Below are 20,893 nucleotides of genomic sequence, written 5' to 3'. Positions count from 1 at the left end.
AAACATCCTCCCTAATTATGGGGAAAGTGGTATGTCATTAGCATGGAATGAAGTTCCCCTCCTGATCCATTAAAAGTTAAGCTACTCCTTTCACTAATTTTGTCCTCAAATAGTATAGCTCACATGCAAAAAGGGGAGAGGACATTCCTCCTGAACATATTCTCTGCTTTTGGAGAACTTCTCAACCTTTCTAAAATATTGTATTGGTATTCTGGTTGTTGACATGATGTGGAAAAGATGTAGAGGATACAGTTGGAAAGAAATGTCAGTTTATTTAGTGCACATTGAAACATCAATAGTCGTGCTGTGAGACACAGAGCAAGAGGTTGAAGTGTGGACTGTTAAGTGCTGGCTTCCACAGATGTGAGAACCTAGCTATGCTTTGGGACTGCATTTCAAACAACCCCAGGTTCTGTGGGAGGCAGGACTGCTGTTCCACAATGGGGAAGGAGAGAATAGGTTTGCTCCATGTGATATACTGGGGCATCTCTTAGTGTTCGCCTGTCTAAAGTTGACAGTGAAGGAACAGTGCAGATCATTGGCCCTAAGGAGGGCATAGTGAGCAGGGCTTCGATGGCACAGTAATGAGGGCCTGGGTCACCCCTATGGGCAAGCCACCCGGTCTAGTGGAGGTACCAGCCAAAAGTAATGAGAATTCAAAAATTGAATATTAGTTGCAACTCTGCAATCAGGTGCAGCAGTGGGGATTATACTTCATTCCACCAACTTTCCTTTTGTAAATTTCACTGGAAAAGAGACCAACCAAAAGGAAGCAGGTGGTGTGACTGTTTTATACAAAGCAAATGGATCTGAGCAGTTCAAAGGGTGCACTGAATGGATAATGTGGTGTCTTGCTCAGATACCTGCTTCAGGACCAAGGCATTCATTTCCCCAGCTGTCAGAATTATTACCTGTTGATGGCTCAGAGCAAATCCCTCACCAAGAATTGCCCTCAGGTGAAAGGAATTTCTTCACCCAGCATTATGACCACTCCCCAGGTGCAGCCCACATCCAATGACTGGTCAGTGTGGTGATATACAAATCAGGCCCCCTTGCCTTAATTTGGAACAACTCAGAAAGGCCAGCGTAGCTTCCAAGCTCCAGTGGGATTAGCTGAGATGTTTTTTTGCAATTACATCACAATTCGACTCTTTTTGCTCAACCCTGGTTCCTTAACGTCTCACAGTTTTTATCTTGAGACCATTGCACAATAAACTTCCCATACACAAATCTGTTTCTCTATCTTTTTCCTGGGAAATATGACATAAGATAGTTTCCTATTAAATATTTTTAAAATATGTAGGAAATGTATGTTTGTGACATCTTTTATCAAAAATATTCTGGAAATATGCTATGCTTGAGTTTATTTTAACTAATTTAGCAAACCTTAGTAAAGCAAATGTAAAGATTTAGCAACGGAATAATATTTGGCAATTAGCTGTAAATCACTGGACAGGCATTTAAAGCATGCTATTTGGATGGCTATGCTTCATTTTTAAGTAATTCATATGTGTTCAGCCAAATCAAATAAACTGCTTTAGTTCTTTTCATAACATCTGAGGTTAATAAAATAAGTAAAAGGGTTGATAAGCTTTCAGTTTTCCATGTTTTTAATTTATGAAACATTTTTAAACTAAGCTTTGTCGTCATGAAACATGTTTTTATGCCTAAGGTTTATTGATTTTCTACCTCATGCTTTCAATAGTTTGACTTACTTTGTCTAATATGACAAGTTCAGAATTCATTAAACATTATTTTGTTGAAATTTTATTTCTCTAAATGGGAGGTTCTATATTAAATGTCTTTAAAAATTCGTTTCACAACTATATTGATGCTAATGAGGCCTGAGAGATAGCAAGTGATAAAGCAACATTGTAGAAGCTGTTCAAATGTGTTTTTTTATGACAACTCAGAGATACTATTCACAAACCATACTATTTATCCTTTAAAGTGTACAATTCAGTGGTTTTTAGTCTATTCACAGACTTGTGCAACTCTCACCACGATCTAACTTCCTAACCTAAAAAGAAACCCCATACCCACTAGCTGTTCCTCTGCATTTCCCTCTCCTCCCGGTCTCTGGAAAACACTACTCTCTATCTCTATGGATTGGTATATTCTGGATATTTGATATAAATTAAGCATACAATATGTGGTCTTTAGCATCTGACTTCTTTCTCTCAGCATGATGTTTTTGAGGTCCATTCATGCTGTAGCTCATATCAGTACTTCTTTCTTTTTATTCCTGAATAATATTCTGTTTTTCAGATAAAAACACATTTTGTTTACTCATTCATTAGGTGATGGACATTTGAGTCATTTCCACTTTTTAGGTATTGTGAACAATGCTGCTATGAACATTGTGTATGAGTTTTGTGAGGACATTTGTTTTCATTTCTTTTGAGTATATACCTAGGAGTGAAATTGCTGGGTCATATGGTATCACTTGGTTGACCATTTTGAGGAACTGCCAAATCATTTTCCAAGGCAGCTGCACCATTTTACATTTCCACTAGCAATGTATAAGGATTCCAGTTTCTTCACACCCTCGCCAATACCTCTTATGGCTATTGCTTTGTTTTGTTTTTAGTATTAGTCACCCTGACAGGCATGAAGTGGTATCTTATTGTGGTTTTGACTTGCATTTCCCTAATAATAATGATGTTGAATGTCTTTTATGTGCTTGTTGGCCATTTCTATTTAATATGTCTCCTTTGGAGAAATGTCTATATAAGTATTTTCCCTATTTCTAAATTGGGTTATTTGTCATTTTATTGTTGACTTGTAGGAGTTCTTTATATACTCTGGATACAAGTTCCTGTCATATATCAAGATTGCAAATATTTTCTGTCATATTGTAGGTTGCCTTCTCACTTTCTTGATAAAATCTTTGATGTCCCCAAGTTTTTTATTTCTATGAAGTCCAATTTATCTTTTTTGTTTGTTTTATTGCTTGTGCTTTTATTGGCCTACCTAAACAGGCTTATCCTAAGTTCTCAAAGATTCACATGTGTGTTTTCTTGTAAGAGTTTGTTTCTTTTGGCTCTTTTATTTAGGTCTATTTTGAGTTGATTTTTATAGACAGTGTGCGGTAGGAGTCTAATTTTATTCTTTTGCACGTAGATATCTAATCGTCACCGTACCATTTGTTGAAAAGATTATTCTTTCCCCCATTGAATTATCTCGGGACACTCACTGAAAATCAATTGATTATAAATATGAGGGTTTATTTCTGGATTCTCAATTCCATTCCAGGATATGGGTTTATCCTTCTGTCAGTTTCACACTGTCTTGTTTACAATAGCATTGTAATAGTAAGCCTTGAAATTGTGAAGTGTGAGCCTTCCAGTTTTGTTATTCTTTTTCAAGATTGTTTCTGGGCCTCTTACATTTCCATGTGGATTTTAGAATCAGCTTGTCAACTTTTGCAAGAAAGCCAGCTGGGAATTTGATAGGGATTTCATTAAATCTGTAGTTCAATTTATAGAATATTGCCATCTTAATGATATTAAATCTTCCAGTCAGTGAACACAAGCTGTCTTTCCATTTGTTTAGGCGTTCATTCATTGCATTCAACATTTTTTTGTAGTTTTCAGAGTACAAGTTTTATACTTTTTTTTGTGAAATTTGTTCCTAAGTGTTTTATTCATTGTGCTGCTATCATAAATGGAATTCTTTTCTTAATTTCATTTTGGATTCTTCATTGTTAGTGTATAGAAATACAACTGTTTTTAATATTATTTTTTAGCCTGCAAACTTACTGAACTTGTTAATTAGTTCTTTTTAAGCAGATTTCTTATTCAAATACAATATGTCATCTGCAAATAAAAATAGTTTTACTTTTCTTCTTTCTGAACTAGATGCCTTTTATTTGGCTATAATTGCGGTTTTTGCCAATAAAAAGTAATGGCAAAAACCACAATTACTTTTGCACCAACCTAATATTTCATTTTTCTTACCTAACTTCCCTGGCTATAACCTTCAGGTTGAATACAAGTGGTGAGAGCAGACATCTTGTCTTTTTCCTGATCTTAGGGGGAAAGTATTGTCTTTCCCAGGTAAATATTAGCTCTGGGCTTTTAGTACATGCCTTTCATCATCAGGTTGTGGAAGTTCTCTTCTATTCCTGTTAATAGTTTGCTGAATGATTTTTTGTCATGAAAAGGCTTTGGATGTTGTCAAATGCTTTTTAATGCATCTGCTGAGGTGGTCATGTGGTTGATTGATTTTTGGATGTTAATCCAACCTTGCATTCCTAGGATAACTGGTATATAATGGTGATAATGGTATATAATCCATTATAGTTGAATTGTCTATTTCTCCCTTCCATTCTGTCTGTTTCTCCTTCATGCATTTTCAGTTCCTGTTACTTGCATATTTGTTTATAATTGTTATATCTTCCTTATGGATTGACCCTTTTATCATTGTTCAGCATTTTTGAATGTCTGAGAAATGAATCAAGTGAGGATACAGCAGATAACCTACAGAATTCTGCATCTGCTGAGCCAGATTTTCTGGTAATTTTTTTGAAAATTTCCCAGTAATTTTGTTGAAATTGCATTCAGAGCAACAGATGGGAGTGCAAGAAAGATTGATCGTTATACTAGTTAGGAAGCTTTCAGCTGTAAGAAATGGAAACCCCAACTCTAACTAGCCTAAACAATAAAGCTGACTTATCAGTACACCCAACTGCAGAGTCAAATTGCTTTTGCAACCAGAGTTCCTCATTTGAACCACAGAACATAAAAGTAATTTGAGTAACTTTTCTCAGTTCACCCAAGGATAGGACATACTTAGTACCATTCCAGTTGCATAGGACAGAAGCTACATTATTGCATGCAATGTATATCTTAGGGCTTATTTCTTCTATTGAACTTTGAGAAAGACTGGTCCCATAGTAGTGTAAGCTTCAGATTTATTTTGATCAAGGACCCTGTTTCAATGTGAGTGTGGTGTTTTTGTTTACTTATGTTTTGTGTAAATTCTGGTCTCTCTCATGTGTAGAGTTTATCTTCAAACTGGTTTTCCTCTGGATTAATAGGTGGGTGAGATAGCAGCCAGGGGAAGGAGGTAGCTTTTCCCCTCAAAGCCATGGAAAAAATGTCCTGAATCCTGCTTTGATGGTCAGCATTAAGTCATATGTCCATCCCTAATCAATCTTTGTGGCATATTGAGTTCAAAGCAACCTGGGGGCACCCCTGGAGTTGGGAGTGAAGTCAACCCCACCCAATGCAACCTATACAAAAGGAGAGATTGAAATTGATGTTGGGGAGATACTACAATGTCTTCTAAATTTATCTCCATATTTAAGGCCTAAAATTTTAGGAGCTAGTTTCATGTTTGTGACAAATGCTGGTAGCTGCCTTAGTGGCATTCTATTTCAATGGTAACAAGAAAGTTAACAACTCATGTTATGAAGAAATAGGATAATTCCTAGCGTAGTAACCCAAATAAAGTTAATTATCTTAATTATCTTAATAATCAGAAGATACAATAGCAGATTTATCTACTGCCATTTGCTGTGAAGCCCTTTGTACCACCAACGCTGCTCTGTTGTATCTTTAAAGAGCCTAGTGACTGCAGATCCCCTTCTGCCACAGTTATCATGTGACACTAAGTCATTGGCAGGCAGGGGAGTTCTTTTGAATTCTGGTTGTTTTTAGTTTAGTGCAAATTCGTAAGTCCAGATGAATTTTATCCCAGGGTGATGAACAAATATGGAGATGCTTTCAGAACTGCTATATATAATCTTCAAAACTGTTGGGGGGTAGTTGATGTTAGGAAAATGGAGACACCTCCTCATCCAGATTTTCAAAAGGTCAAATCCTATAAGATGATATCATGTCCTAGAAAAATTCAAGAGCTCATTTTAAACAGATGGTGGAAGAACATTAGAAAAGAAGTTATCGCTAGGAGTCAAAAAAGTAGTTCAGTAATTGTAAGACAGGCCAAATTATCCTCATTATTGATTTGTTGCATCTGGGGAATGCCATACCTATAATGTACCATGACTAGCATGGTTGGAAGTCCTCCAGCGCAGCCTTCTGAAGAGGCTGGAGAGATGCTGGCTCTTTATTGAACTGTGAGGTGGAGTCACAGCTGGCTGAACCAACACAATAACCTAAGTATCTATGTGGCAGGATATCTCTTTTAGAGTATCACAGCGTTTAATCCTTACATTTTTTTCTATAAAACATTTTTTATGATTACTTGGAAAAAGATACAAAAGAACATAATTTGGTGTAATTATTTCAATGAAGCTAATGAGATTTCCTGCCACACAGATGAATACAGAGCATTACCTTCATAACTGTTATAACCTGTTGTGGCAGATGACATCTGGAGTATTTGTCCTGGTCTGAGCAATACATTATAAAATTGGTTTAGAAAAATTTGCAGCAGAGATTAGTATGGCTAGATCTGCCTGGAAAATGACCTGTGAAGGAAAGTTAAGAAAAAAATGTATGTTTAACTTGGGAAAAAAAAAATTTTGGAAGCAGGGCCTGTGATACAGTTTGGATATTTGTCCCTGCCCAAATCTCATGTTGAATTGTAATCCCCAATGCTGGAAGCGGGCCTGGTGGGAGATGTTTGGATCATGGGGGCAGATTCCTTATGGTTTGGTGCTGTCTTCACCATCGTGAGTGAGATCTGATGATTTAAAAGTGTGTGGCACCTCCCCCGGCCCTTGCTCCTATTCTTGCCATGTGATGTGACTGCTCCCCCTTTGCCTTTCATCATGATTGGAAACTTCCTGAGGTTTCCCCAGAAGCAGATGCCACTATGCTTCCAGTTGACAGCTTGCAAAGCCGTGAGCCAATAAATCTCATTTCTTATAAATTACCCAGTCTCGGGTATTTCTTTACAGCAATGCAAGAACGGTCTGACATAGCCTTATACTATCTTCACGTGTTAAAAGAGGACGGGATTGGGCCGGGCGTGGTGGCTCACACTCTTAATCCCAACAGTTTGGGAGGCCAAGGTGGGCAGATCACCTGAGGTTGGGAGTTCACAACCAGCCTGACCAACATGGTGAAACCCCGTCTCTACTAAAAAATACAAAATTAGCCGGACATGGTGGTGCATGCCTGTAATCCCAGCTACTCGGATGGCTGAGGCAGAAGAATCGCTTGAACCTGGGAGGCAGAGGTTGCAGTGAGCCAAGATGGCACCATTGCACTCACTCCAGGCTGGGGCAACAAGAGCGAAACTCCATCTTAAAAAAAAAAAAAAAAAAAACCCAGGATTTTTTTTTTTTTTTAATTTACAGATGAACGATGAGTTGATGTCAGATTAAGGTCAGAGTTTTATTCTATATAAATTAACTGTCTAATGAATAGGTTGAACAGGGAGGGTATAGATTCCCATTCTCTAGGGATATTCAAGTAGATGCTGTAGAAGGATTCTGTAGGGCTGAGTTAGATGACCTCAGAGAGATACTCTGATGTGCTGTGGTTTGTAAACATGTGTGGCATATTTTAAAAGCATATTGTAATTATATTTTAAGCCATACGTATGTAATCTTGGCAAGAACATTGTTTCTTCTCGAGTCATTCACATGCTAATAGGCACTCTCTGAAACACAGTCCTATGCCAGTTGGAGCCTGTGGGATGTGGCATATACTGGGACAAGAGAAGGTTCCAAAGCTCTTATATTAGGTGAATACCAACTCTATCTGGATTTGTCATTCTAAAAGCCATCAGGAAACCATGTTGCTGACTCCTAAGGATTATACGTCTTTTCTTTTCTTTTCTTTTTTTGAGACGGAGTCTTGCTCTTTCGCCCAGGCTGGAGTGCAGTGGCGCGATCTCGGCTCACTGCAAGCTCCGCCTCCCGGGTTCACGCCATTCTCCTGCCTCAGCCTTCCGAGTAGCTGGGACTATAGGCGCCCGCCACCACGCCCGGCTAATTTTTTGTATTTTTAGAAGAGACAGGTTTCACTGTGTTAGCCGGGATGGTCTCGATCTCCTGACCTCGTGATCCGCCCGCCTCGGCCTCCCAAACTGCTGGGATTATAGGCGTGAGCCACTCCACTCCGGGCCATACGTCTTTTCTAAATGCTCCCAAACCACTGTTTAACAACATCCTAAAGACTTTCTAGGCCATGAGAGGTATCATGTTCTGGAATTCGCCTTTTTGAAAATCAGTGTCTTCACTGTTCTCACACGTCTACTATAAATAAGGGGAGTAATTTAATTCCTATTATATGTATGTGTATGTATATGTACATATATGTGTATTTTTATATGTGTGTATATGTATCTATAGGTATATATATTTATGTATAGCAGTAATTACCTGTTTAATGAATGAATGGTGATGATTTAAATGTAAAGGGAATGATGCCAGAGGTTATGAAAAAAAGCTGCCTTCAAAATATGAAATAGAGAAAGAATAGAGAAATGCATGCCAAGCTCTAAATAATTTATTGTAATTTACTTGGTTCTTGGTTTTCTAAAATGGAAATAAAGAGATAATATTGAGCTTAACTCTTACTGAGACTATGACAAACGATAGACGTGCTTAATACATTTTCTTTTTTTGGGGGGCGGGGGGGGACAGAGTCAAGACTGTCACCTAGCCTGGAGTGCAGTAGCGTGATCTCAGCTCACTGCAGCCTCTGCCTCCCATGTTGAAAGGATCCTCCTGCCTCAGCCTCTTGAGTAGCTACAGGCCACCGTGCCTGGCTAATTTTCATATTTTTATTAGTGATGGGGTTTCACCATGTTGGCCAGGCTGGTCTTGAACTCCTGGCTTCAAGTGATCTGCCCATCTTGGCCTCCCAAAGTGCTGGGATTGCAGATGTGAGTCACTGCACCTGACCTAAAAATAATTTCTAATATGAGCTTTTTTACTGGCAGAGTACAAAAAAGTTAATTATTAGAGATTATACAATGTCTCGCTACGCGAGTTGACTGATTTTTTTGTTTTTGTTTTGTTTGGTAAGCTTTCAAGTGCACAGTCTACATAGAGTTTATAAGAAGTAAATCTTGCTTTCAAATTAGTATTTCAATAAAATTAGACACAAGAAAGAGTAAGCTATTGCTTCATCATATTTTCCCCTCTTTATTTTCTTCTCCTTCAATTAATTTCTTGTTGCTATTGTAACAAATTACCACAAATGCAGTGATTTAAGACAACACATATTTATTCTTCTCTTAAACTTTGGAAGTCAGAAATCAGAAATGAATCTTATAGGGCTAAAATCAAGGTGTCAGCAGGGCTGATTCCTTCTGATGGCTTCAGAGGGAATATTCCTTGCCTCACCCAGCTTCCAGTGGCTGCCAGTTTCCTTGGCTATGGCCATATCATTCCAATATCTGCTTTCCTTAACAAATTCTCTTCTCCTCTCTCTGAACTCCTCCCTCCTTTTTGTAAGGAACCTTACAATTACATCAGGCCCACCTGCATAATACAGGCTAATCTCTCATCTCAAGATCCTTAACTTAGTCACATCTGCAAAGTTCCTTTTACCATGCAAGGTGACATATTCACATGTTCTGAGGATTAAGACATGGACCTCTTTGGAGGACTACCACTCGGCCTACCACAATATAGAACACGTATTTTTAAAATAACATATCCTAAATCACTTTTTGAAGTGAGGTAGGTACATGCCATGATCCAACCAACCAATCATTTCTCATTGATATCTCCTTCTTGCTTCCTCTGCTTTATCACTTAAATGCCTATCTAGTTCAGAGGAGGTATGAACTTAAAAAAAAACAAAACAAAACAGTAGGTTCATTTCCAGCACTGAATACTTCATTGATTCATGATATTAACTCAAGTAAGTGCTTTTTACTGGATTAGAAGGAGGGAAGTTGAACTTCACCTGTAACCTGACATTTGTCTGAAGGGCACACTGCCATCACTAGAGTGATGCATGAATCAGTCTGAACAGGGTGAAACAAGTGACATCCAAGTTACAGTTGAACACAGGATTTCGAGAGATCATCTTTTTAGGATTAAAATATTATTATAGATTTTTTATTCTGAAAAAGTTTTTGATTCCCATGCAGTTGTAAGAAATAATACAGAGACGCCATGTACTTTTATTTTATTTTATTTATTTATTTTTTTTGAGATGGAGTCTCACTCTGCCGCCCAGGCTGGAGTGCAGTGGCACAATCTTGGCTCACTGCAAGCCCGCCTCCTGGGTTCAGGCCATTCTCCTGCCTCAGCCCCCTGAGTAGCTGGGACTACAGGCGCCCACCACCATGCCCGGCTAATTTTTTGTATTTTTAGTAGAGATGGGGTTTCACCATGTTAGCCAGGATGGTCTCGATCTCCTGACCTCGTAATCTGCCCGCCTCGGCCTCCCAAAGTGCTGGGATTACAGGCGTGAGCCACCGCGCCCGGCCAATCTCATGTACTTTTAACCCAGTTTTACCAATAGCAACGTCTTGCAAAACTATGGTACACTATTACATCCAGAATATTGATGTAGATACAGACAAAATACAGGTCGTTTCATCACCAACACAATCCTTCATGCCCTTTAAAGCCATTTCCACTTCCCTCCCACATTCTTAACCCTTAGAAAACATGAATCTTTTGTCCATTTCTATAATTTTGACATTTTAAGAATGTTATATAAATGGAATCATACAGTATGCAACATTTTGGTATCAGCTTTATTCACATGGTATAATCCTCTGGAGATTCACCCAGGTTTGATGTGTTAATAATTGGCTTCTTTGTATAGCTGAGTGGTATTCTATCATATAGATGTATTGCAGTTTAACCTATTCATCTGTTGAAAGACATCTAGGTTATTTCCATTTGGGGGTTATTACAAATAGAGCTCATATGAACTCTAGCGTACAGGTTTTTGTGTGAACATAAGTTGTCACTTCTCTGGGATTAATGCCCAGGAGTGCAATTGTTTGGTTGCATAGTTACGTGTTTAGCTTTTTAAGCAACTGCCAAACTGCTTTCCAGAGTGGCTATACCATTTTACATTCCCACCAGTAGTGCACGAGTGACATAGTTTCTCCCTATCTTTGCCAGTATTTGTATCATCACCCTTTTTTATTTTAGCTATTCTGATAGGTGTGCAGTGATATCTCATTGCGGTTTTCATCTGAATTTCCCTAGTGGCTAATGATGGTGAACATCTTTGTGTGTGTTCATTTTCTTATGTAAACTGCTGTCTCCAGAGCACCTTTTGTGTTGCTATGAGGTGCACATGACAGCCAAGAGGGCTCGGCTTAAGGCCTGTAATTTCTGCTTCAACCAAAGCTGCTCCATTTATACCTATTTTACATATAGGGCTTCTGAGCAATTTCGTTTAAACAGAGTGTTCTTTGTTTTGTTTTTGGGTTTTTTTTTTTTTTTTTTTTTTGAGACGGAGTCTCGCTCTGTCGCCCAGGCTGGAGTGCAGTGGCACGATCTCGGCTCACTGCAAGCTCCGCCTCCCAGGTTCACGCCATTCTCCTGCCTCAGCCTCCCGAGTAGCTGGGACTACAGGCGCCTGCCACCATGCCCGGCTAATTTTTTTGTATTTTTAGTAGAGACGGGGTTTCACCATGTTAGCCAGGATGGTCTCGATTTCCTGACCTCGTGATTCGCCCGCCTCGGCCTCCCAAAGTGCTGGGATTACAGGTGTGAGCCACTGCGCTCGGCCCTTTTTTGGGTTTTTTTTAAAGGTATGAAGTCAATGTACTTCATTTAGTTTGTAGGAAATTACTTGGCTTCCCAAAATCCTAGATGAAAACTATATTCAGAAGTAGAAATAAATACACTCAAATATATTTATATAAAATATATTCGAAAGCCAACTATTTAAGCTTATATGTTTTTCTTTATTTCTTTACAGTGAATAACTACAAGCTGACTCTAATTTTAAAAAATAAAAATTTTATCTCTCACCAATTTTAAAATGGCTCAAACATCTCTCATTAATAGTTTGTGATAGCTTCCTTTCATGCAGGACCAGCACTCTGATTATCCTTCTACATGCCAGGCAGGGGGAGCTGCAGTGTGGAAGAATAAAAAGTAAAGACACAACTTGGTTATAAGACTTTTGTTATAAAAGTAATATACTTGTGACATGTAACAATGATGATGAACATGTGCAAAATGCTTGCATACAATCTGGTTTTGTGATTCTACAGATTCAGTATTAGAACATAAACCATTTCCAGGGAACATGAGTCACCCTGCAGTCCTATATTCCTTTGAAGGCAACTTCCCCTAGAGACATTAGTATTTTAGCTCCCTCCCACCCCCACGCCTATGCTCAGGTCCTCTTGCTTTTTTTCCTTAAGGAGAGGTATTTTTTGAGCAAGGCTAAAAAACTTGTCATGCTTTTTAAAAAGCCATCCCTACTACATTTTTCTTAGTCATTTTCACAGCCTAGCAGTAGGAGTGTCAGACTCTCAGTGTTCTCAGAGGGGGACACAGGAGGACATCATATAGCTTGACTGTTGCTAACTTGCCAGTAACTCATTCTGACTCAGTGAGGCCATCTGAGGTGACAGTCTGCTGTGGGACCAAAGCCAGAGAACCAAAAGACAGAGGTCACTCCATCCCAGCTCCCAGGGAGCAGCCTGACCTCCCCAGCTGCTTCATGGTCCAACCAGGGCTCCCGGCTGCCCATCCACGTGCATATAAGTGACTCTCCGGAGGAACACAGATTGGCCACAGTGGAACATTTTTCTCCCATGTTATCATCCATCCTGATTCTTCGGCTGGGGAAATCTGTGAAAAGTCAAGGATAGGTCTGGTGAAAAGAAAATTAAAACAAAATACACGCCTGCGCCTTCATTCTGTCCACGTGCCTTCCCTGGGCATTGCTCTCCCCACAGCTATATTTAAGGGCTTCATACATGGCGGTCAGAAGCTCTCTGGAGAAGTTCCCAACTATTGGCTTATACATGGTTTTCCTTTTCTCTGTGTGTGGTAGAAGAAATCCGTGGGGGGTAATCTCTTTTGGAATCATATGTTTCATGTTCCCATTGGACCTTGGGTTCAAAAGCATAAATAAACATTTAGAAGGAGTGTTTGCCTCAAGGTAGGACCGAGGCCTGCTGGCTGAGTGCACCCTGGGGAAGAGCTTGGGCTGCCTGACCTCACGCTTCATTGGATTTCCCTCTCTAGGCACAGCCAGGAGCACAGCAAAACTGGAAGGGAGAAACAGGGTGCTGGCCAATTTCATCTTTCCCATGAAAAAGTTAATGACATTCCCACTAAATGCGCTTTAACACCAGTCAGAGGATAATAGGGCTGGCAAAGCATTCGCTCTTTTTCCTAAAGAGAGTGGAAGACCCTAGTATCTTAAAAAACAAAAATGCAAGACTTGAGCCCATCCCCAAATAATTATAGACTCAAGTCAATGATAGTGTCCATCTGGTCCTGGCCCTTCTGAGATAAATGTGGCTGAGGGTTTTAGCAGAACAGCAGTGTTGTGATAAAGCAGTGCACTATCAATTTGTGCCCTGGTTTTAATAATCTACATGTACCAGTAGCCAGAGAATTATGTGAGACACTTTGAAAAGAATGATCAAAAACTGGAATTGGGCTTTTGCATATCTCTCATTTAATCTTCATAACCACCTATCAGAAGGTATTATTATAAGCCCTGGTTTACATATGCAGGGATTGAGGGTGGCATGGCTAAATAACTTTCCCGAGGTCACACGTACAGCAATATGAAGTGCTGGAAATTGAACACAGTGTCTGGCTTCAGAACTCTCACTCCTAACCACTCAGGAATAGCCCCAAGAAGCCCAACATGAAGGGGTGTGGGGGCTCAAGGGAGAGACCCTGACAGACCAGGGGCGGGCATGAGGGCTGAGACAGAGAAAATACCCCTAGGAGTTAAAACTTGTGTTCAATCTTGAAGGGTGGAAAAAAGTTAGAAAGGGGAAGAAGGGTCAGAAGTGAGAAATAGGAAGATCAACCCAGAAAAGGCAAGGGGATGTACAAACATGCAGAGGCCATGAAGAACATGGCAAGGCTGAAGAAAGCTAGGTAGTGCGGTATGCTCAGATGATTGAATTTGGATTGAAATGAGGAAAGAGGGTGGGGACAGAAGTAGAGGCTAGAATTAAAGCTGGACAACTTTCTAAGTCATACCAAAGAGAAAGGAATTTTGAAGATTGGGAGAAGCCCGTAAAGGATTTTAGGCAGGGAGCAGGGTGACAAGATTTGCATTTAAGGAAGATCATTCTGCTTGTATAGGGGATCACTGTCAGGAAATTAGAGCCCAGAGTATGGCAGCAGAGTAAAATGTGAGACAGCAAGACCAGTTAGTAGACGATGTTTTAATCTGGTAGGAAATGACAGGGGGTAGAGACTAAGAGAGTAGAAATGGGACTGAAGAGGAGGGAACTGATTTGAGAGATATTAAGGGAAGTGAAAGGGCTCTAATGATTGATTCAATTTGAGCGCAAAAGGCCAGAGGTGTACTGATGAAATAACATTTATGCATTTCATAAAGACATAACGGTGGTACTCATTCACATGGAGAGAGCAGGGTGGAAGAAGAGGACAGGCTGGGAAAGAGAAAGGTAATGAGAGCAATTTAGAACATAATGAGTCTGAAGTAACCATAGGGCATGCAAAGAAATATTCCAACAGGAGGCTGGTTAAAAAAGCCTGGAGTTCAAGAGAGAAACTTGGGCTAGGGAAACAGATTGTTGAATCCTCCAGTGGTTTTATTTATTTATTTATTTATTTATTTATTTTTATTTATCTTTGAGACGGAGTCTCGCTCTGTTGCCCAGGCTGGAGTGAAATGGCACAATCTCGGCTCACTGCAACATCCACCTCCCAGGTTCAAGTGATTCTCCTGCCTTAGCCTCTTGAGTAGCTGGGATTACACACCCGGCTAATATTTGTATTTTTAGTAGAGACAGGGTTTCACCATGTTGGCCAGGCTAGTCTCGAACTCCTGACATCAAATGATCCACCCGCCTCGGCCTCCCAAAGTGCTGGGATTACAGGCATGAGCCACCGTGCCCGGCCCCTTCCAGTGATATTTGAGGCTGTGGAGTTGTGCCCATTTTTATATTTTCTTCCAAATGTGCTCTCCATACATGCTTTCTGATGCTGGAGCTAGGACTCTGCAAACCTCATTTCTGCTTGACCGTTTGGCTTTTTCTTAGGCTCTGCTAATAGAGGGAAGCTGCAGGGCTGGAGGGAGGACAGGATGTGAGTCTCCCTGCAACCTCACTGCTTCCCTCCAGCAGTTGCAGATCATTCCAGTAACAGCTGTTGGGGCCAGTGTGTAGTTTTTTTTTTAACACTTGCAAAACCGGCTTCCTCTTACCCCCGCTTAGAGACACTAGCAGTGACCAACTATGTCCCCTCTTCCAAGGTCTGGGTCCCTCACTAGGCAGTCTCTTTTCTACATTCTGGTTTTAGTAATTCCAGCTTCTTCCTTTGTCCTTTCAGCCCTAGAGGTGGAGTTGCTTCCTGCAGGTGCTACTTTTGCCATGTCTTAGAGTTTTCTTTTCACTCTTTGGGTTACTTAGTTAACAACTTTATACATAGTTAACAATTCTTCATGTTAATTTATCTCAGTTAACATAACTGGTGTGGTTCCATCTCCTGACTGAATCCTGACTGTTACAGGGTAAATATGGGGATATCAAAGAAAAGTATAGAGAGTAATAAAAGAAGAGAGCTTCAAAAACAGCCTGGGACCACCTACATTTAAGGACCGTCAGCCCAAGATGTGGACCAGGGAGGTGGCAGGAAATCCAAGAGGGTCTGTGTCTGCTAAGGGAAAGAATCAATCAAGGAGAGATAGAACATTAATACCAGAGAGATAATAGTTAATGGAACAAGATTCCTGAGGGAAGTGGTAGGAGTAGCCTTGTCCCCTGGAATGAAAGGAAAGGAAAAAAAGGAATGAAGGTGGGTGAGGAGTAGATTAGCTTGTGAGCGGGGAAGTTGTCAGTTGAGAATAGGGATGAAGGGAGGTGGTTGGGTCTGAGGGAGGTGGAGCCTTTGAAGAGGATGGAAGAGAAGGCTGCCAAGGGCATCCCATGGGACAGCTCTAGGGCAAGGGGAGGGGAGAAGTCCGAGAACGTGAACTTTAAGTGGCTCCAATCCATGTAACCATGTGTGTTTTTTCTTTGTTTGTTTGTTTGTTTGATTAGGACATAGCAGCCCTTTGTGGGATGTTGAAAAGTCAGACAATGGGATTAATCTAGGGAAGGAGTCTGCTCCAAAGAGACCTAGGTCTCAGCAGGAAAGGGATGAACATGGGGGACCCTCGGCCTAGGTTGTCTAAAATATGAAGTGATGGGGGGTGACAGAAAAGAAAAACCCCACACAACTCTATGTGTGCTCATGAGAGTTTGTGTAGAGGTCAACTCTCTTCTTTAACTAAAGCCATAAAAGGAAAAGTTTTCAAATGTGCTCTGGCTAGAGGGAAGAAAATTCCCTACAGAGACTGGACACTAGTTGTAATCTTCTCAATAAAACCATCATAGTTCATCCTTAGGTCCAACCTAATTTACAAATTACTCTTGTCAAATGGCTTATAAATCAGTATATTTTAATTTCTTATTTATTCTAGGTAAGGAACCTCATTGGAGAGGCAGTATGATAAAAGAGCTCAGAAAACTTTAGCGCTCCTCAAATCTGAAGAATCAGGGATATTGCTGTAATGATGTAGGTCTTACTTGAATGCTATTTTACTACTTCAAATTTTGTTAGGGCTGAGATCAAGTCTGATAAGCACCTTAACTTAGGCAAATAATTATGGTAATAAAAGATTATGCCACAGTGCGCAGGCTTCCAAACTTTTCCAACTATTTTCTTGTAAATACATTTGTACAGGGGTAGTTTTCCCCTAGGACAGACCATAATTTAAAAAACTTGTATTCACTGCAGTCCTATAAATTACTGTTTCCCCTTAATGTTGGAAAGTAGTGATTTATTTTAGCAAAACTGCAGACCTCACTAAGGCATGCTTTATGTGTATGTACTTCCCTAGGGCAAGTGAGACCTTTTCAGCATATTTGGGGAAAGCATGAAAACTATTAAATTAATTTACATGGACATTCTTAAGTTTACTCTGATTTATCATATATTTTGCACAAAATGGCTGTTATATTTGCATTATCCATGAATAACTAAAATATACAATTTTTAATAATTTCTACATTTCTAGAATGGAGCTTTATTATTGCTAAGCACTTTCAATTTTTTATGTTTGCAATTTTGCTTATGAAATAATATTCTGTAATAATATATAGAGAGCTGGGCACAGTGCCTGGTGACTGTAATTCTAACAACTCAGGAGGCTGAGGCAGGAGGATCTCTTGAGTCCAGGAGTTCGAGGATGCAGTGAGTCATGATCATGACACTGCATTCCAGTCTGGGAAACACAGCAAGACCCCACTTCCAAAAAAACAAAGTTATATCAAAGTACTTAAAAAGTACTAATAACAATGACCCGCTCACTGACATGAAATTGATTTTTAACCCTTCTCTTGTCACAGATTCATCTAAGAAGAGTATAGGAAAAATAGTCACACTGAAATAGGAATTGATTTCTTTAATTCAATCATAGAAGCATTTGAAAATAAAATGTATCCAGAAAAACACATGGCATGATGAATTTAGCATAAATGCTGAAGTGCTAAATGGTTTAAGAAAAAAATAAAAGATCCAATGCCATGAAGTGCAGCTTCCCCACTAGCTGTAGTCTGAGGATTGATGCTCGCGAACTACGGGGTAAATGTCTGCAAGAATTGTCACAAATCCGGCAGAAGTTACTTAGTAGAAAAAACACAGGAGTCAGGCAAATCAAGATTCAGCTTCTAGCTCAGCCACTTGCTCGCATTTGACCTTAGTTAACTTTTCTTAGTCCTTGTCTGAAAATTGGAGATAAAGTAACAAAGTCTTACAGCCCTTGTGGGAAATCGCTGGGATTACAAGTGTCAGGTACTGGCACCTGGAAAGCCTGGTGCCAGCGCCTGACACTTGTAACCTCCTTCCCTTATGGTGACCTCCTTCCCTTATGGTCCCTGACTTCTGGGCCTCAGGTTCTGACCTCCCAAATAACCATCTGGGGAGATATCAGAAAAATCTTGCTAGCACTTAGGGGCCAGTGCTACTAACCATCCTTTGACTGGTTAAAAACTTTAAAATGTGGAACTATTTATACTTTAAAAGACCAGATGCTAAATGTGTGATGGGAGAAAAGGAGTTTATTCCCGAAGTTGTTTCTATCAAAGAAAAGGACAGTAGATGGCACCATTGATTCCCATGCCAATGCCTTGCCATCGAAGCCCCCAGGGATCATTACTTAATTTGGATAAATGGCTGAACGTACAGACTCAAAAAGCAGTTGACATAATCAAGAACATTGGAATGACCAGCAAGTTACTTGAAGCATTCAAGAGCAAATGTTCTTGTCAAAAAAGCTTGGCTTCATGACTCCTTTGCCATCACATCCTACCCAAGGGACTAGCAGTGTGATTAATCCATTTGACTGGTTATGAGAACCATCCAAAAATCACAGTGGTACTGTTGGTTCAGGAAAGGGCTCCCTGTGGCCTTCTCCAAAGCAGCTGTTCATTCCTCTGCTTCTCATCAGCTTGAATCTCTGCAGTACTTGACAGTTTATGAAGGGCTTTCCTCTTGGTAACCTCTTCAGACACGCAGGACTGGTCTCATGCACATCTCAGTTCCTGGTTCTCTTCCTCTTTACAGCAGTCTCAATGCTCCTGTAAGGATCTGTGTCACCCACCCCTCGCTTCCACCAATAGTTCTTGGCGGGTGACTCCAGAGTTTCTAGCCAGGACCCTTCTTCCGTGCTCTATTGTCCTTTCTGTCCACCAGACATCTTCACACACATGCCTCACAGGTACCCCAAATTCTTCAGAGCCAAAGTATTATCTCATTATCTTTCCTCTTAGCTCATTCTTCCTGGCTAATGACATTATTACTCTCCCAGCTATGCAGGCTCAAAAGTTTGCCTTCTCTTTTGCCTCCAAAATGTAAGCAGTCACTATATCCGCATCACCCACCTTTATAAAGCCTTTTGAAGTGACTCCTCATTTTAATTTCTATACTTCCTGTCTTATCTCAGGTCCTCATTACCTTTCCCTAGGACTAATTACATGGCCTTCTGAAGACTCATCCAATTTTATCCCATTCTATATGCTCCTGTCCAGCGGAACTCTAATGAGGTCGCTTTCTTACTCTAAAATCTCTGTAATTCCTTACTGCTTACGGTGGAATTTCCAACTTCTCATCCCACACAAGGTTCTCTGCAATATGGGTCCAACCTACTTTCTACTCTCTTACATCTACCTAGAATTCCAACCAATTATCTTGAAACTAACTTTTATTGAGCATTTACTATGTCTTAAACACTGTAATGAACATTTAAAATATATTATTGTTTAATCCTCACAGCATATGATGGCATTATTTTACCCATTTAAAAATGAGGAAACAGCTACTTGGTGAATTCAGGTAAATTACAGGTAAGAATTCAGATAAGTATTATGGCTAGTAAGCAGTATTGAGGGAAGTGAAATCTGAACTACCCATATAGACACTTTGCTTTGCTTATCTGCCTTTATTCATGTTATTTTCTTTCAGTTTCCAGTGTTCTCTCCACATACATTTATATATCAAAATCTTACTTATCTGCCAACACTCATGTCAAATGCCACTTTTTCCTTGAGGTCTCTCTTCATGTCTCCAACTGATGGTGCTTTGTCCTTCATCTGAGTAGCCACGCGCTAATGCGTGCCTGGCATTAGTGATTGGTGAGTTAGTCTAGTCTCATCCTCATCACTGGATCGTGGTCTTTGTAAGGAAAGTAACCATGTTTGCGTGATATTTTTACCCCCTGCACTAATCAAATAATAGATGCTCAGAGTTGAAATAAATTGTCTCTTAAACAGATGAGGTGCAGCATTAATGTCAAAATAATGGCAAACACTCTCTGTATTGCAGTCTGTGTATTCCCTGAAAACCATGGCATTCTATCTAGCAATTAAACAATTAATATAACACAAAAGAGGTGAGAGTGTCTTGCTAAAGATTGACTTTTGACATTAAATACTTCGTTTTTGTGGTTTGTACATCTGAATAACATAGAGACTTCCTTAGATAATCAATGGACACAATTGCTGACTGATTGATTTTTCTTCTATAAGTGATAGGTTGTTACCCAGTTTTTGTTTTGAGCAAAAGAATTAGGTAGTAATGTTGTCCACAAAATGGACTCTTCTCTAAGTCCACACATTTTCCTGTGTTCGTCAGTTGTAAAATCTGGGGGTATCCTTGTTCAACATTGAAAAACAGTCGAAATGATATGACCCAGCAAGTCTACCCCATATGAAACATATGAGAACACGTGTCCACACAAAAATTTGTGCAGCATTACTCATAACAGTCAAAAAGTGGAAACAACCTAAATGTCAACTAACTGACAATGGATAAACAAAAGTGGGGTATTATTCAGCAATAAAAAGGAATGAAATGTTAATACATACTGCAACGTCGGTACACTGTGAAAACATGCTAAGGGAAAGAAGCTAGTCACAAAAAAATGACATATTATTTCATTTACATGAAGTGTCCAGAATAGACAAATCCATAGACACAGAAGTAGATTGGTGGTTGTCTAGGGCTGGAGGGAAGGGGAATGGGGAAATTGAGGAGTGACTGCTAATGGGTATTCTTTTTGGAGTTGATGCAAATGCTCTAAAATTGATTGTGGTGATGGTGGCACAGTTTTGTGAATGTACTAAAAGCCATCGAATTGTACATTTTAAATGAGTAAATTAGATGGGATGGGAACTATATCTTAATAAAGTTGCTATTTTTCAAAAGCAATTCAAAATGATATCCAGGATTACCATGAGATGAGGAGCTATGCTAGTTAGCAGTGACCTAAGATGCTAACAA

The 20,893-nt window shown here is 39.8% G+C and overlaps 1 annotated feature.

The window, feature by feature from the left end:
• Window positions 1,729-1,898: an enhancer, noted in NCBI's record as "experimental_34615 CRE fragment used in MPRA reporter constructs". NCBI's record gives its function as "activates a minimal promoter by MPRAs in K562 erythroleukemia cells, with activity observed for the introgressed 14:59905815 variant allele {active_cell/tissue: K562}" and the evidence as "EXISTENCE:reporter gene assay evidence [ECO:0000049][PMID:34662402]".

Source organism: Homo sapiens, chromosome 14 (assembly GCF_000001405.40).
Source record: "Homo sapiens chromosome 14, GRCh38.p14 Primary Assembly".
Lineage (NCBI taxonomy): Eukaryota > Metazoa > Chordata > Mammalia > Primates > Hominidae > Homo > Homo sapiens.
This window is presented reverse-complemented; position numbering and strand designations above follow the sequence as displayed.